This window comes from Homo sapiens, chromosome 19, assembly GCF_000001405.40.
Source record: "Homo sapiens chromosome 19, GRCh38.p14 Primary Assembly".
Classification (NCBI taxonomy): Eukaryota; Metazoa; Chordata; class Mammalia; order Primates; family Hominidae; genus Homo; species Homo sapiens.
Genome location: NC_000019.10, coordinates 11,766,718 through 11,785,339, shown reverse-complemented (window position 1 = coordinate 11,785,339; position 18,622 = coordinate 11,766,718). Strand labels below are relative to the sequence as shown.

Genomic DNA, 18,622 nt, shown 5'->3' with positions numbered 1-18,622 from the left:
GTCTCTTTTTCTGCAAATCGGTGCAAAGCAGTTTTTTTTTTCTTTTGAGACGAAGTTTCGCTCTTGTTGCCCAGGCTGGAGCGCAATGGTGCGATCTCGGCTCACTGCAACCGCTGCCTCCCGGGTTCAAGCGATTCTCCTGCCTCAGCCTCCCGAGTAGCTGGGATTACAGGCGCCTGCCACCACGCCCGGCTAATTTTTGTATATTTAGTAGAGACGGGATTTCACCATGTTGACCAGGCTGGTCTTGAACTTCTGACCTCAGGTGATCCACCCTCCTCGTCCTCCCAAAGTGCTGGGATTACAGGCGTGAGCCACCGCGCCCGGCTTTCTTTCTTTTTTTTTAAATCTACGGGATAACACTTCATAAAAGTAACAGTGACACTATTCAGTTTGGTTCATTTATATGATTTGACTTTTCATAGGTTGTTAAGAAAGCAGTAAAGTCTGTGAACCTAATCGGATTTCCCTGACTCTGAAAAGTGTATTAAAAAAAATGTATATATGGAAAGGAGTAACTGAGGTGACAGAAAGACTTGCTGAGGAGGTGACATGTGGGATGGGACCTGAAGTAATGTATTAGTATAAAAAGTCAGGTCAGAGGATTCAAGGAAGATGGCAGAATAAAAAGCATGAAGAATCTGTATCCCCCACCTGGATTTGCATTGGCAGAATCCAACTCATGTAGCTATTTTGAAACTGCGGATACTATTAAAAGCTTGCAGCTTCCAGGGAAATAATTGGCTAATAAAATTGGGTTAATTTCGGTCAATTTCAACTCTTAGTTGAGTCAGCAGCCCTGACTCATTCCCCCTCCTCAGCTCCATGACAGGTAGCTATGCATAAGTTCTAACAGCAGTCTGCATGCAGTTTTGGGGGGCCAGGGTGGACAAAAAGGACCTGTCTTCCAAATATTGGGGATCTGCGCACTGCTTGATAATTGTTGCTTCTGATCACAGAGTTACAGACAAAGAAGTGGTGGTGACTGTTGCTGCTGCATCTCTCTCCATTTTTTGAAGGCCCTTCCCCTCCATCTGAAGTGACTTCCAGGCTGGTGCCTTTTATTTTTCCCTTAATGCTTTTATTCCTCTCCTTTTGAGAGCCACTGAAGATTAGGTTGTGCAAAAATAACCATACATGCAGAGAAAATTAGACAGTTACCACACATGCCCAGGGACAGGTGCAACTAAGAAAAGACCTGAGAAGAACTTAAGTTTACACCTTAGGCTGTTCCTCAGCCCACAGACACCTGACAATAGTGTTATTTTAAAACTATCTTATATATTTTCTTTTATTGATACATATTTTACATATATATAAGGTACACATGAGCATTTCTTGCATGCATAGAATGTGTAATGGTCAAGTCAGCGTATTTGGGGTATCCATGATCTTGAGTATTTACCACTTCTATGTGTTGGTAACATTTCAAGTCCTCTCTTCCAACTACTTTGAAATATGCAATATATTTTTGCTAACTATAGTTCACTCTAGTATGCTTTCTAACATCAGAACTTATTCCTTTGATCTAAATGGAAATTTGTACATATTCACCAATTTCTCTTCATTTCCCCTTCTCAGCCCCGGATAACTTATTCTATTCCCTATCTCCATGAGGTGAAGTTTTTCACCTCCCACATATAAGTGAGAACATGTGGTATTTGTCTTTCTGTGCCTGGCTTATTTCACTTACCATAATGACCTCAAGTTCCATCCATGTTGTTAGCAATAACATTTTACTCTTTTTTATGGCCAAATAGTATTCCACTGTGTACATAAACATTTTCTTTATCCCTGTGTCCACTGATGGATGCTTAGGTTAATTCCATATCTTTGTTATCATGAATAGTGCTGTGATAAATATGCAAGTGCAAGTATCTCTTTGATATACTGATTTCTTTTCCTGTGGTTATACTTGGTTTGCTGGATCATGTGGTGGTTCTATTTTTAGGTTTTTGAGAAATCTACATACTGTTTTCCACAGTAGTTGTTCTAATTTATACTTTCACCAACAGTGAAAGTTTTCTTTTCTCCACATCCTCATCAGCATTTGTTGTTTTTTATCTTTTTTAGTAAGAACAATTCTAAGTAGAGTATCTCATTGTGGTTTCAATTTGCATTTTCCTAATCATTAGTGATGTTGAACATATTTCCATATACTTTTTGGCCATTTGCATGTCTTCTTTTGAGAACTGTCTGTTCACATCCTTTTCCCACTTTAATGGGATTATTTATATTTTTTGCTGTTGAGATGTTTGAGTTCCTTGTATATTTGGATATTAGTCCCTTGTCGCATAGTTTGCAAATATTCTCTCATATTCAACAGGTTTTCTCTGCACTCTTGTTGTTCCCTTTACTTTGCACAGCTACTTTTTAGTGTAAGATAGTCTCATTTGTCTATTTTTATCTTTGTTGTCTGTGCTTTGAGGTATTAGCCATAAAATCTTTGCCTAAACCAATGTCCTGAAGTATTTTCAATATGTTTTCTTCTAGTAGTTTTACAGATTCAGTAGGTCCAATTGTTAAAGAATGTGATCTTCAGGTACAATCCTGTCATGCAACAAAGGCTCCAGGTCACTTGAAGGATAACAAAATGCCTATAACCACTGGAAGGTTTGGTGATGTAAAGAAAAAGAAGGAACAGCTTCCTATAATATTTGTAGCTAAAGCAGCTGCAATTATGGAGATGAAACCTTCAACACTTAAAGATCTTATACTCGCAAACTCCACAGATCCTGACATTGTTGCTGACATGTACACGTACTTAGGACAATGAATGACAGTTGTATTTGTACTGAACATGTAGACTTTTTTCTTGTCATGATTCCCTAAATAATACAAAAGCAACTTATACAGAATTTACAATGCATTGTGTATTATAAGTAATCTAGAAATGATTTAAGATATACAGAAAAATGTGCCTAGATTATATGCAAATATGCTGTTTTTAATATCAGGGACTTGAATATCTCTGAATATAGGTATTCCTGAGGGTGCTGGAATCAATTCACCTCAGAAACTAGAGAAGACTGTATTCAAAAGAAACTGAAGCTACTAAATGCTTTACCACATTGTTTACATTCATAGTGGTTCTCTGCAGTTTGAAATCTTTCATGTAACTGAAATGAATTAGGACTAGTAAATGCATTTCTACATTCCTTACAGTAGTAAGGTCCATTGCTAGTATGTTATAATAACCACCTTTGAAAGTTTGCTAGACAAAGAAAGTTTTTTCATATTCCTCACATTCATTATATATATATTTTTGAAGTATGAGTTTGGTCATGTTTTCAAAAGGTACTGAAAAAAATGGAAGGTTTTAGTACATTTTTATATTCATACAACTTTTTTCAGTGTGAGTCTCTTATGTATTTGTAAGAAGCTGAAAGTACTTAAGGCTTTCTCACATGTTCAACACTCATAGGGGTTTTCTCTAGTGAGTCATTTCATGTTTATGAAAGGAACTGATACAATGAAATGCTTCCCCACATTCTTTACACTTATAGGGTTTCTCCATACTGTGGGTCCTTTCATGTTTATGAAAGGCACTGGGACAATGGAATGGTTTCCCACATTCCTTACATTTATACGGCTTCTCTCCAGTATGAACTCTTTCGTGTATTCGTAAGTAACTTGAATGACTGAAGGCTTTACCACATTCCTTGCATTCATAGGGTTTCTCTCCAGTGTGAGTTCTTTCATGTCTTTGCACTGAACTGGGATAATCAAAGCCTTTCCCACATATCTTACATTTATGAGGTCCATTTCCAGTATGTGTTATCATGTGTCTTCGAAAGCTTGAGAGATCAGATAATGCTTTCCCACATTGCTGACAACCATAGGGTTTCTCTCCAGTGTGAGTCCTTTCATGTAGTTGAATGTAACTGGAAGACCTGAAGCCTTTCCCACATAGTTTACACTTATAGGGTCTCTCCCCAGTGTGAATTCTTTCATGTCTTCGAAATGAACTGGGAGAATCAAAGCTTTTCCCACATATCTTACATTTATGAGGTCCATCTCCAGTGTGCATTATCATGTGTCTCTGAAAGCTTTTCAGATGAGAAAGTGCTTTTCCACACTGCTTACATTCATAGGGCTTTTCTCCAGTGTGAGTCTTTTCATGTACTCGAATGTAATTGGAAGACCTGAAGGCTTTTCCGCATTGTTTACATTTATAGGGTCTCTCCCCAGTGTGAATTCTTTCATGTATTTGAAGGTAAGTGCAACAAATGAAGGCTTTTCCACATTGTTTACATTTATATGGCTTCTCTCCAGTGTGAGTAGTTTCATGATTTCGAAAGTAATAGAAATCACTAAAGGCTTTCCCACATTCACATTTATAGGGTTTCTCCCCAGTATGAGTTGTTTCATGCCTTCGACATAAACTGGGAGAATCAAAGGCTTTCCCACATACCTTGCATTTATGAGGTCCATCTCCAGTGTGCGTTATCATGTGTCTTCGAAAACCTGTGCAATCAGAGAATGCTTTCCCACAATACTTACATTCATACGGTTTCTCTCCAGTGTGAGTTCTTTTATGTCTTCGAACTGAACTGGGAGAAAGAAAGCCTTTTCCACATATCTTACATTTATGAGGCCCATCTCCAGTGTGCACTATCATGTGTCTTTGAAAGCTTCCAAGATGATAAAATGCTTTCCCACATTGCTTACATTCATAGGATTGTTCTCCAGTGTGAGTCCTTTCATATAGTTGAGTGTAACAGGAACAACTGAAGGCTTTCCCACATTGTTTACATTGATAGGGTTTCTCTCCACTGTGTGTTCTTTCATGTCTTAGAGTGGAACTATAAGCAGGAAACGCTGTAGAACACTGCTCATATTCATATGGTTTCTCTTCAGTGTGAGTTCTTCTAAGCATATGAAATAAACTAGGCCAAATAAAGGCGTTTCCACACAACTTACATATACGAGGTCCATCTCCATGGTGTGCTGCCATGTGTCTTTGAAGGTTTTCAAGAGAACTGAAGCTTGCACATTCCTTACAATCATAGAGTTTCTTTCCATGCTGAGGTCTTTCATGTATTTGAAAGCAGGGCTGATAACTGAAAGCTGTCCCACATTGTGTATGTGTATATGGCTTCTCTCCATATTCTTGATACTCACATGGTTTGTGTTCACTGTCAACTCTAACGTAGCAATTAAGAGATGAACGACCCATGAGGACGTCTGTACACTCACTGCTTTCCCATGGATCTACTCCAGGTATTTTCTCGTTCACAATACTGTCTTGAGTCTGGGTAAAGGGTCCTCCACATTGACTATTATCTTTAATTTCACAGGCTCTCTCTACCATATGACATCTGTAAAAAATAAGAAGTACATTAGTAAAGGTTTGTTTATAAATGATTTTGTATTAATAAGTATTGGATTTACATTTCTTTTCTTTCTTTCTTTTCTTTTTTTTTTCTGAGACAGGTTCTCGCTCTGTTGCCCAGGCTGGAGTGTAGTGGTGTGATCTCAGCTCACTGCAACCTCCACCTCCCGGACTCAAACCATCCTCCCACCCCAGCCTCTCAAATAGCTGGGTCTACAGGCATAAGCCACCACACATGGCTGATTTTTTTTTTTTTTTGAGACGGAGTCTCGCTCTGTTGCCCAGGCTGGAGTGCAGTGGCGCAATCTCGGCTCACTGCAAGCTCTACCTCCCCCGGGTTCACACCATTCTCCTGCCTCAGCCTCCCAAGTAGCTGGGACCACAGGCGCCTGCCACCACACCTGGCTAATTTTTTGTATTTTTAGTAGAGACGGGGTTTCACCATGTTAGCCAGGATGGTCTCGATCTCCTGACCTCGTGATCTGCCCACCTCAGCCTCCCAAAATGCTGAGATTAGATTTTTGTATTTTTTATAGAGACGAGGTTTCACCATGTTGCCCAGGCTAGTCTTGAACTCCTGAGCTCAAGCAATCTGCCCACCTTGACCTCTTGTAGTGCTGGGATTACAAGGGTGAGCCACCATACCCAGCCTTTCTTTTTCTTTTTCTTTTTTTTTTTTTTTTTTTGAAACTGGGTTTTGCTCTGTTGCCCAGGCTGGAGTATAGTAATGTGAACAGGGCTTACTGCGGCTTTGACCTCCTGGGCTCAAGCAACCTTCCTGTCTCAGCCTCCCAAGTAACTGAAACCACAAGCACAGGCCACCATGCCTAGCTAATTTTTGTATTTTTTGTAGAAAGGGCGTCTTGCCACGTTGCCCAGGCTGATTGAACACCTGGGCTCAAGCAGTCTTCCTGCCTCAGCTTCCCAAATAGTTGGGATTACAGGTGTGAGCTATCGCACCTGGCCTGGATTTACATTTCTAACATTATCATGCAAAGTGTAGGTCTCATGCCCTCTTTGAACATGAATGGACAGAATGATGTACAAGGTAACTCAACCCCAGCTGTTTTGAAGATAGTGACATTCATATGGGAATTCTTAATACTGTTTCCAAGGGAACTATTTTGCAGGCACTGAATAGCCATAGCCATGTCACATTTAAGTATATGTTTTTGAAGAAAATTTTCTAAGAATAAATAAATTTAAGGTGGGCTTGTTAATTTTCCTTGCTTCTTTTTAAAATTTTGGGCTGGTCACAGTGGCTCATGCCTGCAATACCTGCCTTTTGAGAGGCCAAGGCAGGAGGAACGCTTAAGGACAGGAGCTGGAGATGAGTCTGGTCAAACACAGCAAGACTCTATCTCTACAAAAACTAAATATGTAGCCACATGTGGTGGTGCATGCCTGTAACCCTAGCTACTCAGGAGGTTGAAATGGGAGGACCATTGAGCACAGGAGTCCGAGGCTACAGCGAGCTATGATCATACCACTGTACTCCAGCCTGAGCAACAAAGTGAGACACTGTCTCTAAAACAAACAAAATAAAATAAAATTTCTGGCATACTATGAATCACTTCAAGGACACAGCTTTCTCTTGTGAGTGCAAATTACCTTAGATTTCTTCTGAGATCTTTGTACTGATCTTCTTCTATATCATGATTTTGCCATATCATTCCTAAAAGTTAGAACCAGAAAAATGACTATAAATTATTATAAAATTATAGAAAGACTGTAAGATTTTATGTACACTACAATCATGCATGATTCACACACCAAACTACAGCTGAGTCTTCAACACAGGTTTGAACTGCACAGGTCTACTTACATATGAATTTCTTCAGTCTCTGCTACTCTTGAGACAGCAAGACCAACCCCTCCTCTTATTCAGTCTACTCAATGTAAAGACAATCAGAATGAAAACTTTGTAATGTTGTATTTTCTATGAATACTAAATAATGTTCCACTTACCTATGGTTTCCTAATGAATATTTTCCTTTTCTAGCTTACTTTCCTGTGAGAATATATAGCATGTAATACATATGACATATAATACATGTATTAATCAACTGTTTATGTTACCAGTAATGCTGCCAGTAAACAGTAGGCTACTAGTGGTTAAGTTGTGCGGGAGAAGATGTATGACTGCTTGGGTGGCTGGTTCAAGGGCCAATTATATACCCTTCCATATTTCAAATAATTGAACAGCATTGATGACCAAGAAACAAATGTCTCTAATTGACTAAGTGAAGACATGATGACATCCTTACCTATACAGTCCAGGTTTCTGATGGTTTCCTGCATCACATCTCTGTAGAGACTCTTCTGTGATGGACCCAGCAAAGCCCACTCCTCACAGGTGAAGTTTATAGCCACATCCTCAAATGCCACTGAGTCCTGAAATATTTCACATGTGCAGAGGAGGAATATTAAAACTGAAGGCACTGGGAATGTAAATTCACTTCATAACCTTCACATGATGCTGTGGTTTCCAAGCATTTATTCAAGAACATGGTAAACCCACTCTTATTCTCTCTTTACACTCATTTTATCCCACACAATTCTGATCCTAGAAATGAACATGTTTTGTAAAGTAACAGTTGAATAGGAACACGCCTCTTGTTGGTAAGTTAAGAAAGTGAGTCTTATTGCCTGAATCACTCCTCATTTCTATTTCTACAGTGGGTCTGCAGTTCTTGTCATGACAAAGTCCTACTACCTATTGTGCAAAAGAGAGTTACCAGCAAGAAGGCTCTCACCAGATGCCCAGCCTTGATGCTGGGCTTCCCACCCTCCAGAAGTGTAAAAAATAAATATCATTTCTTATAAATTACCCAGGTTAAAGTATTCTGTTATAAGCAACAAAAAACAGACTAAGCCATGAAAAAAACACTCTGAGGCCAGGCACAGTGGCACACACCTGTAATCCCAGCACTTTGGAAGGCCGCGGCAGGCAGATCACCTGAGGTCAGGAGTTCGAGACCAGCCTGACCAACAGGGAGAAACACTGTCTCTACTAAAAATACAAAAAATTAGCCCGGTATGGTGGTTCATGCTTGTAATCCCAGCTACTCAGGAGGCTGCGGCAGGAGAATTGCTTGAACCCGGGAGGCGAAGGTTGCGGTGAGCCGAGATTGCGCCATTGCACTCCAGCCTGGGCAACAAGAGAGAAACTCCGCCTCAAAAAAAAAAAAAGGGAAAAAACACTCTGGTCACTGTGTCTGTAATGAGTGACCCTTGTGCCTTGGGGGATTTAGCCTGTGCTATGTGACTACACTAAGAGAGAACATTTGGAAGCTAGCAACTGGTTTACTGTAGAACATATGTAGTTAAGTATGACAAAAGACTAATAAGGATATTTTACCATCCCAATGGAAAAATTAAACTTTATTAAGTAATGTCAAAGAAGAAAAGAAGGGCCAAGATTGCATATGTTCTTAGAAAAAAACTCAATGTCATCTCTCATGAATATCTATAATATTTCCCTAAATCCCTAAACAGACCTTTTTGTCATCATTAAAAATTACATGACCAAATCTAATAGAAGTCACAAACATCTAAAAATGCTAAAATCCTTCTAACCAAGAAAGCAACAGCTTTCCAAAAACAGATAAAGTATGGTGAATATATTATATTCAGTACCCTGTACTATTAACACAGAGATAAACAAATAGAATAAGGAAGGTGACAAATAGTAGGAAAGTTTTGTGGAGTTTTTATTTGTCCTTGTCCCAATCCCTCCTCACATCAGCACCAGTCTTGAAAACAGCAGACCAAATTTCCAATGTGGATCCCTAGAGAGAGCAGATCAGATCTTATTTGTAAGTTATTGCACCTTTGTATTTTTCAATCCATCTGTGGACTATCCAAAGGTCTGAAAGAAAGTTCTCTTTTTTATTTAATCAATGATGGAGCCTAATTAGGTCAAGCTTGGCAGGAACTGCTTCAAATTGTTGCAAAATACATAAAAAACCTTCAAACAACTGGGACAACAAATTATGATTAAGACATATGGTAGAACATCTAAGTCCTGGGAATAAAAAAGGAGAGAACAATTTCCCTCAGAAATTAGGGCATTCAGGCTGAGCGTGGTGGCTCACGTTTGTAATCCCAGCACTTTGGGAGGCTGAGGCAGGTGGATCACCTGAGGTCTGGAGTTTGAGACCAGCCTGGTCAACATGTCGAAACCCCGTCTCTACTAAGAATACAAAAATTAGTCAGGTGTGGTGGCGGGCACCTGTAGTTCCAGCTACTCGAGAGGCTTAGGGACAAGAATCGCTTGAACCTGCGAATCGGAGGTTGCAGTGAGCCGAGATTGAGCCACTGCACTCCAGCCTGGGCGATAAAGCAAGATTCCGTCACAAAAAAAAAAAAAAAAAGGCTGGGCGCGGTGGCTCATGCCTGTAATCCCAGCACTTTGGGAGGCCGAGGTGGGCGGATCACGAGGTCAGGAGATCGAGACCATCCTAGCTAACACGGTGAAACCCCGTCTCTACTAAAAATACAAAAAATTAGCCGGGCGTGGTGGTGGGCACCTGTAGTCCCAGGTACTCGGGAGGCTGAGGCAGGAGAATGGCATTAACTCAGGAGGCGGAGCTTGCAGTGAGCTGAGATTGCCCCACTGCACCCCAGCCTGGGCGACAGCGCGAGACTCCATCTCAAAAAAAAGGGGGCATTCAAAAGCACTCCAGTGTTTTGGGGAATTGAGAATGCATGTACTGGAAATGCATGCACTGGAAAAAACACATTTTCACAAAAGACCTGGGGAGGCCCTCATTTTCAGCTCTGCATCATCTCTCAGTTTGGTAAAACAGAAAGGTAAGGCTAAAGCAGAGTTTTAAGCAGTCTGGCTAAGTGTTCACCAAATACTACATCACAGACCCATCCACAAAGACTGGAAGAGGTCAGCTTTTTGTTTGGCATGTCTTTTTTACTTTTAGCTGCTAGCATTCAGGAAATCTATCAGAATACTGGATGAACACAAGCTAAGGGAACAGAGACTTCAGTGACTACACTGGACAGAGAACACAGTCTCTGCAGACATGCTCTGAAAATGTTACTAAACAAATGAATAATTAAAACCTTCCACAAACCAGAAGGGCAAACAGTGAAGGGAATCTGATTTCCAGATTATAACATTCAAATGTCTGCTTTACAACACAAAAAATCCATAAAGACTATAAAGAAGAATAAAAATATAGCTCATCAATGGAAAAAAAATTTAATTTAGATAAACCATCTCTGAGAACCTCAGACATTAGACTTATTGAATAAAAACTTTAAAGCAACTGTCTTAAATATGTTCAATGAGGTAAAGGCAATTATGAACAAAGAACTAAAAGAAAACCAGAAAAGGGATGTATGAATAAAATCATATCAATACAAAATTAGAAATTGGACCATATTTAATTTATGCAACTGCAAAGCACAACATCTAAAATGAAAATTTCTCTATAGATGTTCAACAGATGTGAGCAACCAAAGTAAAAAATCAGCTAAAATGAAGATAGAACAATTGAAGTTATTTAGACTAAGGAGAAAAAAAAGGAATGAAATTGATAGAATGTATGATTGATACAACTGTCTTGCTAGTAATGTTAAAAGAAGTTCATCGGAGAGAAGAAAAATTAAATAGATTAGAAATTTGGATCACACACCCACACACGAAGACTCTTAGAATTAAATGAAGACATTTGAAATTCTTTAGTTTTCTTATACCTATCTGATCTAATATAATAGATACAGGTTTGTTCAACATAATAATATCAGCAATGTATTGGGCAATACAATAGAGGAATTCAGAATACTTTGTTATATCAGCACTACCCCTGAAGCCGGTATAGTGTTATTTGAAACTGTAGGCTCATTAGTTGTGAATAGTATTCTACCAACTCTAGTGAATTCACTAATAACATTTAAGAAACAAAGAGATTTACTATACTCATAGAAGCAAGCAAATGGAATCATATACATGCTCAGTCAAAATGAAAGAAGGCAGAAAGGAGAAAGTGGAAAAAAACAGATAATGTACAATAAATGGAAAACAATAACATATATGTGATATTAATCCAATTACATCAGTTATGACATAGAATGTGTATTACCTATATTCAACAGTAAAAAAGGCAGGGACTGGCAGAGTATAATGAAAAAGAAGGCCCATCGATGTGCACAAGAAAACCATTTTAAATAGAAAGGTTTGGATAAATATATGCAATTCTAGCCCTAATCAAAAGAAATATGGAACACTGATACTAAATTCAGACAAATAAGATTTTAGGTCAAAAAAATTACACACGATGGAGATATTTCATAATGATAAAGAGATCAATCCTACAAGACATAATAATCCTTAACATTTATGCCCATAAACACAGATCATGAAAATACATAAGGCAAAAACTTATAAAACCACATGACAAAATACACAAATCTACAACTATAGTTGGAGAAAAACAACTCACCTCTTTCAATAATTGACAGATCAGTTTGGCAGAAAATCACTAATGATACATGTGAACTCAAGAATACTATTAATCAACTAGATTTAATTGATGTGTATTTACAGATTCTTTCATTTTACACCAGCAGGCTACACATTATTTTCAAGCCCTCATGAAGTATATACCAAGATAGACCATATTCTGAATCATAAAACACACTTGAACACATTTTTAAAAATAGAAATTCTATAAAATATGCGATCAAACTATATTATAATTAAAGTAGCAATAAATAACAGAAACATACTTGAAAAGCCTAAAAACCTGGAGATTTAAGTGACAAGCCTCTCAACTATAAAAGCGTCAAAGAGAATTCTCAAGCAAATGTAAATATTGCAATGTTGATAAAAAAAGAGTATATCATAGCAAAATTTTTAGAATGTGCTTAGAAGGAAATGTAAAGAATTGAAAGCAGGCCGGGCGCAGTGGCTCACACCTGTAATCCCAGCACTTTGGGAGGCCGAGGCGGGCGAATCACGAGGTCAGGAGATTGAGACTATCCTCGTTAACAAGGTGAAACCCTGTCTCTACTAAAAATACAAAAAATTAGTCGGGCGTGGTGGCAGGCGCCTGTAGTTCCAGCTACTCGGGAGCTAGGCAGGAGAATGGTGTGAACCCAGGAGGAGTTTTGCTTTGTTGTCCAGGCTGAAGTGCAGTGTTATTATCTCACTGCAACTTCTACTTCCTGGGATCAAGTGATCCTCCCACCTCAGCTTCCTGAGTGGCTGGAACTCCCACTACAGCCTCCTGAGTGGCTGGATGTGCCACCCCATCCTGCTAATTTTTTGTGTTTTCTGTAGAGATGGGGTTTCACCATGTTGCCCAGGCTGGTCTTGAACTCCTGGGTTCAAGCAGTCTGCCAATCTTGGTCTCCCAAAGTGCTGGGATTGTGGAAGGTTTTAATTATTCATTTGTTTAGTAACATTTTCAGAGTATGTTTGCAGAGACTGTATTCTCTGTCCAGTGTAGTCACTGAAGTCTCTGTTCCCTTAGCTTGTGTTCATCCAGTATTCTGATAGATTTCCTGAATGCTAGCAGCTAAAAGTGCTGGGATTACACATGTGAGCCACCATGCCTAGCCTACCAGTGCACCCAGCCTGGCCTGGTGTAGGGACCAGCCCCACAGGGTCGGTGAGTTTCTCCCCATGTGCGGTGACGAGAGAGCGTAGAAATAAAGACACAAGACAAAGAGATAAAAGAAATGACAGCTGGGCCCGGGGACCACTACCACCAATGTGCGGAGACCAGTAGTGGCCCCAAATGTCTGGTTGCACTGTTATTTATTGGATACAAAAGCAAAAGGGGCAGGGTAGAGTGTGAGTCATCTCCAATGATAGGTAAGGTCACGTGGGTCACATGTCCACTGGACGGGGGCCCTTCCCTGCCTGGCAGCCAAGGCAGAGAGGGAGAGGAGACAGAGAGAAAGACAGCTTACGCCATTATTTCTGCATATCAGAGACTTTTAGTACTTTCACTAATTTACTACCGCTATCTAGAAGGCAGAGCCAGGTGTACAGGATGGAACATGAAGGCAGACTAGGAGTGTGACCACTGAAGCACAGCATGACAGGGAGATGGTTACGCCTCCAGGTAACTGCGGACAAACCTGACTGATGTCAGGCCCTCCACAAGAGGTGGAGGAGCAGTCTTCTCTAAACTCCCCCGGGGAAAAGGAGACTCCCTTTCCCGGTCTGCTAAGTAGTGGGTGTTCCTTGACACTTTTTGCTACCGCTAGACCACGGACCGCCTGGCAACGGGCGTCTTCCCAGACGCTGGCGTCACTGCTAGACCAAGGAGCCCCCTGGTGGCCCTGTCCAGGCATAACAGAAGGCTCACACTTGTCTTCTGGTCACACCTCACTATGTCCCCTCAGCTCCTATCTCTGTATGGCCTGGTTTTTCGTAGGTTATGATTATAGAGTGAGGATTATTATAATATTGGAATAAAGAGTAATTACTGCCAACTAATGATTAATGATATTCATATATAATCATATCTAAGATCTATATCTGGTATAACTATTCTTGTTTTATATTTTATTATACTGGAACAGCTCGTGTCCTCGGTCTCTTGCCTCGGCGCCTGGGTGGCTTGCTGCCCACAGCCTGGGACTTTTATTATTTATTGATTGAATTTCTTCAATAGTTATAAGCCTTTTCATATTAATTAGTTCTCCTTTTGTGAGTTTTGGTAGCTTGTGTCATTCAAGGAATTGGTCCATTCCATGTAATTTATCAACTATGTGGGCATGCAGTTGTTCCTAATACTCCTTTGAGGTCCTTTAATGTACACAAGATGAGTAATCATAACCCCCCTTTCTTCTGAGTTAGCTTGCCTATGGGCTTATTCATTTTATTGATCTTTTGAAGGAACCAGCTTTTGGTTTGTTAATGTTTTCTACTGATTTCTTGCTTACTATTTCATTAATACCTTCTCTCATTGTTATTTTCCTCTGCTCGATTTACATGTATCCTGCTATTCTTTCTTTAGTTTCCTAAAGTGGAAGGTTTTTAAGCATTGGTTATATATCTTTGCTTTCTAGAGATTGCATTCAATTTTTTTTTTTTTTTTTGAAACAGAGTTTTGTTCTGTCACCCAGGCTATAGTGCAGTGGTAGGCTAGGCGTGGTGGCTCACACATGTAATCCCAGCACTTTGGGAGGCCAAGATCAGCAGACTGCTTGAGCCCAGGAGTTCAAGACCAGCCTCGGCAACATGGTGAAACCCCATCTCTACAGAAAACACAAAAAATTAGCAGGATGGGGTGGCACATCCAGCCACTCAGGAGGCTGTAGTGGGAGTTCCAGCCACTCAGGAGGCTGAGGTGGGAGGATCACTTGATCCCAGGGAGCAGAAGTTGCAGTGAGATCATGATACTGCACTTTAGCCTGGACAACAAAGCAAAACTCCACTTCAAGCAAACAAACAAACAAAAAGTCCCAAGAAAAAGGAACAGGCCAGCATGGTTTCACTGTTGAATTCTGGAAAACACTTATGGAAGAAATGACACCAATTCTCTATAATCTCTTTCAGAAAATACAAGCAGAGGGAACACTTTCTAATTCATGTTGTAAGGCCAACACTGATAATATGGTTTGGCTCTTTGTCACCACCCAAATCTAATCTTCAACTGTAATCCCCATAATCCCCATGTATCAAGGGAAGGACCTGTGGGAGGTGACTGGATCATGGGGGCGGTTTCCCCCACGCTGTTCTTGTGATAGTGGGTTCTCATGAAATCTGACGGTTTTATAAGTGTTTGACAGTTCCTCTTTCACATGCTGTCTTGCCTGCCACCATGTAAGAAGTGCCTGCTTCCCCTTCCGCCACAATTGTAAGTTTCCTGAGGCCTCCCCAGCCATGAGGAACTGTGAGTCAATTAAACCTCTTTTCTGGTAGTTCTTTATAGCAGTGTGAAAATGGACTAATACAACTGCCTTAACACCAAAACTAGACAGACATTACAGACATATCTCCACCATGTGAGGGCATAACAGGAAGAATGCCATCTGCAAATCAAGAAAGAGGCCCAGGCTGGGCACGGTGGCTCACACCTGTAATCCCAGCACTTTGGGAGGCCGAGGTGGGCAGATCATGAGGTCAGGAGATCGAGACCATCTTGGCTAACATGGTGAAACACCGTCTCTACTAAAAATACAAAAAATTAGCTGGGGTGGTGGCATGTGCCTGTAGTCCCAGCTACTTGGGAAGCTGAGGCAGGAGAATCACTTGAACCCAGGAGGCGGAGGTTGCAGTGAGCTGAGATCATGCCACTGTTCTCCAGCCTGGGCAACAGAGCAAGACTCCATCTCAAAAATAAAAAATAAAAAAAAAAAGAGTCCTTTAGTAGACAACTGACCTGCTGCTTGAAACTGAATTCTCAGCCTTTATAGCTTTGAGAAATGAATATCTGTTGTGTAAGGCATGCAGTCTATGGTAAATTTGTTATAGCAACCCAAAGGACTAAGTTAGGAAGGGTCTTTCTCTACCACACATCAAGGCTTTGAAGACTATAGTAATCAGGAGAGTATGATATTAGCAGACTGATGGATACATAAACCAATGAAAAATGGCAAATTCTGGAACAAGAGCATCTACTTAAGGTACAAGAACCTATGACACAGCAGGTATTGCCAGGCAGTGATACAAATGAGGGACACTTCAACAGAAATGATGGAGACAAATGGTTACCTACAGGAGAATAATCCATCTTCTGCCCAGCATCTCCATATACAATGATCAACTAACTATAGACTTTCCAGTTTTCATTAATTTTTACTCAGTTTGTTACCTCAGCTTCCATTTTGAGTGTGGTTTCGTTTTTCCATACCAAAAAAGGGGTTTTATGACCCTTGACACAGTTTCTAGTTCTCTATCTTCTCCCAGTTCTTCAATTTGGTTGATCCATATGCATCCCTTATACCATCATCTCCTTTCACCACCTCCCTATGGGTGCAGAGTGTGTCAAGTCAGGTCCTCCTATCACCTGGAACATCCCCCATCACCATGCTGCTCACCGAAGTGCTCAATAACCATGATCCCAGGAGACACTACATTGTTAGCTTTTCAGGTTCTTGCACCACCTCAGTGGAGTTGGTTTTCCTGTCCTTAGGGATAGTTTTCTCCCTTCATTAGTCTGAGAACATCAGAAGGGAAGAATCATTTCAGTCCTGTCCCCTTAATACCACCATCCAATTGGCTGACCAGCCATATATCCCCAAGGAAGGGATGGGGGAAGAAAAGCTGAGTGTTCTAAGGAAGTAGCTTATTGAGGAAGGGTATACCAGGAGACTCCTCCCACTACAGGGCATCATGCTGCTTCCCTACAAGGTCCCACCATCTCCACCTCAGGGTGTCCTCTGGGAGGAGTGACAAAGGGACTGATATTCACTTGACACTACAAGAGACTTGGCAGCTGTGGGCATCTTGGGGTGGCCCCAGGCAGCTCTGAAACCCAGGACCAGGAAACCATAGAGGATGGGCTGGGGACTCATCACTCTGTAACGTTTCCAAAGAGGAAACTTAATCCAAAGACATTCTCAAAAGGTGTCTCTGTCTAGGGATGATGAAGGGAGGACAGTAACAAAGATTTTATTTATTAATATTCATTTTTTTTACAGCGAAATGTCTGGTGGTTTTTCTCTGCTTCCTCTCATGTGAAATGTTCACAAACACAAAACCTTTTACAAAGAGCCATATATTGCTATGTATAAACAAAATGACAATTAAAATACTAGCCTCTGTTTGAAAAATAAACTGGGGGACAAGGAGTTCATAAAGTTGCTGTGAATTGAGGAGAGAAAGCCTGAGGAAGGCTCTGGAAGCCAAGGGATTTTCTGTCGGCCCTAGGAGGAGTTAGGATGAGAGAACACAGTGGTGGACTTGAGACCCTGCTGCCCACATCTTTGGAAGACTCGAAGGCGAACGGGTCACCCTTGGGAAGAAAGAAGGGACAGGGGACCACACAGACCACAACTCCTCCCACACACAAACCCCACACACGAGTCTGCCTGGTGACCTGTCATCACCGTGCAGCCTCCTCACCGGGTTCACAGAACTGCGAGCCAGGCTGGAGGCGAGATTGCAGTTAGATATTAACCAGGTGCCCTCAGCCCCGCTGCCTCGCGGGGCCGCCTCCCCAAGAGTCAGGCCACAGCAGATGCTGACCGCCGGCTTCGCCATTGTGCTTGGGGATGAGATCTCTGAGAGTTGCTCAAGAGTCGCCTGAGTTCTTTCTCAGATCCTGAATTCCAGCGGAAAGGCTGGCGCCAACCAGGCTGAAGACCCCACAAGGGAACCCACTCAGCAGAAGAATGCGGTTTCTTCACCTCCAGTCCCAAGAGTCACCCCTCACTTCCCCACCATCCAGCGACCCCACGCCCCAGCCGCCCCTGTCCACACCCCTAAACACCCCATCCCCAAACCTCTCAGGAAGGCGGATCTGGGGTGTCCTCCCCTCTCCCCCTATTAAACTGTTTCTGCTGCAGCCCTCGGCGTCTCGGTGCAGTGACTCGGGCCGCGAACCTGTGCCGGTTACAGCCGCACAATCTGGGGAGACGCAGGACTGCGGGCGCGGAGCTGCCCAGACAGGCCTCCAGGGCCAGGGCCGCAGTGGCCGCGCAGGGACGGGACAGGACGCCCGGGGTCCCGGCTGCCGCCCCAGCCCCATCGTGCGGCCGAGGGAACCGAGGGCCGAGCTGCGCCAGGGTGTCGCCGGCGGGGAAGACCTGGTGCCACCACAGCCGGTTCCGGCCGGTTCCAACCAGTCTCTCCTCTCACGCGTCGGGACACCAGACCTCACACACTCACCATTTCCCGGCTTCCGGCGTCCAGGTTCCTCCCTCTGCCTCCCGCTGTCAGTGCGGGTCCCAGCGAGACAGAAGCTGCCACAGACGTTCCAGGGCGTCTCTCAGTGACAGAACCCGGAGCCCAGTGCAGGGGCGTGGAGAAGACTCGGCGGGCTCTTTGAACCTTGCACCCTCCTCCGGTCAGTGCGCCTGATTGACAGTTCTCACGACCCCGCCCCGCGGCCCTGATTGGATAGTGCGCCAGGTCCCTCCCCCGGGCACTGAGTAACGGAAGAAGCGATCTCGGGCAGCGGAGTGGAACCTGATAAACAGATTCCAGACAGGCCTTGAGAGGACTAGCTTCCTCCCTGCGCTGTGACCTGACCCCCTCCCAGGGGACATTTGCATTTAGGCAGTATGTCCTGACCTTCCTCCTTTTTCCTCTTGGACAGGGACCCACAAGTCTGTGCAGGAAATTCCAGACTCACTGTCCAGTGGAGC

At 42.2% G+C, this 18,622-nt stretch overlaps 1 protein-coding gene and 1 long non-coding RNA gene across 2 annotated transcripts, besides 4 other annotated features; one reads left to right on the top strand and one right to left on the bottom strand.

Annotated features, from left to right (window-relative positions):
- Positions 1-1,261: 1,261 nt before the first annotated feature.
- ZNF441 (zinc finger protein 441) lies at positions 1,262-18,340 on the bottom strand. The gene is made up of 4 exons (NM_152355.3): positions 18,144-18,340; positions 7,603-7,729; positions 6,947-7,010; positions 1,262-5,321 (listed from the first exon to the last, which is right to left on the bottom strand). Exons 1-4 carry the CDS (start codon positions 18,144-18,146, stop codon positions 3,434-3,436), a joined length of 2,082 nt encoding a protein of 693 aa, NP_689568.2. The 5' UTR covers positions 18,147-18,340; the 3' UTR covers positions 1,262-3,433.
- Positions 3,829-4,029: a silencer, noted in NCBI's record as "peak3359 fragment used in MPRA reporter construct". NCBI's record gives its function as "represses an SCP1 promoter by STARR-seq MPRAs in K562 erythroleukemia cells {active_cell/tissue: K562}" and the evidence as "EXISTENCE:reporter gene assay evidence [ECO:0000049][PMID:32103011]".
- On the top strand, positions 7,703-8,165 carry LOC124904639 (uncharacterized). The gene is made up of 2 exons (XR_007067141.1): positions 7,703-7,846; positions 8,015-8,165. It is a non-coding gene; the product is annotated as an uncharacterized LOC124904639 (long non-coding RNA).
- Positions 17,310-17,419: a silencer, noted in NCBI's record as "silent region_10130". NCBI's record gives its function as "represses an Ori minimal core promoter by ATAC-STARR-seq in GM12878 lymphoblastoid cells {active_cell/tissue: GM12878}" and the evidence as "EXISTENCE:reporter gene assay evidence [ECO:0000049][PMID:35858748]".
- Positions 17,870-18,009: a silencer, noted in NCBI's record as "silent region_10129". NCBI's record gives its function as "represses an Ori minimal core promoter by ATAC-STARR-seq in GM12878 lymphoblastoid cells {active_cell/tissue: GM12878}" and the evidence as "EXISTENCE:reporter gene assay evidence [ECO:0000049][PMID:35858748]".
- Positions 18,080-18,179: an enhancer, noted in NCBI's record as "active region_14033". NCBI's record gives its function as "activates an Ori minimal core promoter by ATAC-STARR-seq in GM12878 lymphoblastoid cells {active_cell/tissue: GM12878}" and the evidence as "EXISTENCE:reporter gene assay evidence [ECO:0000049][PMID:35858748]".
- Positions 18,341-18,622: the final 282 nt, after the last annotated feature.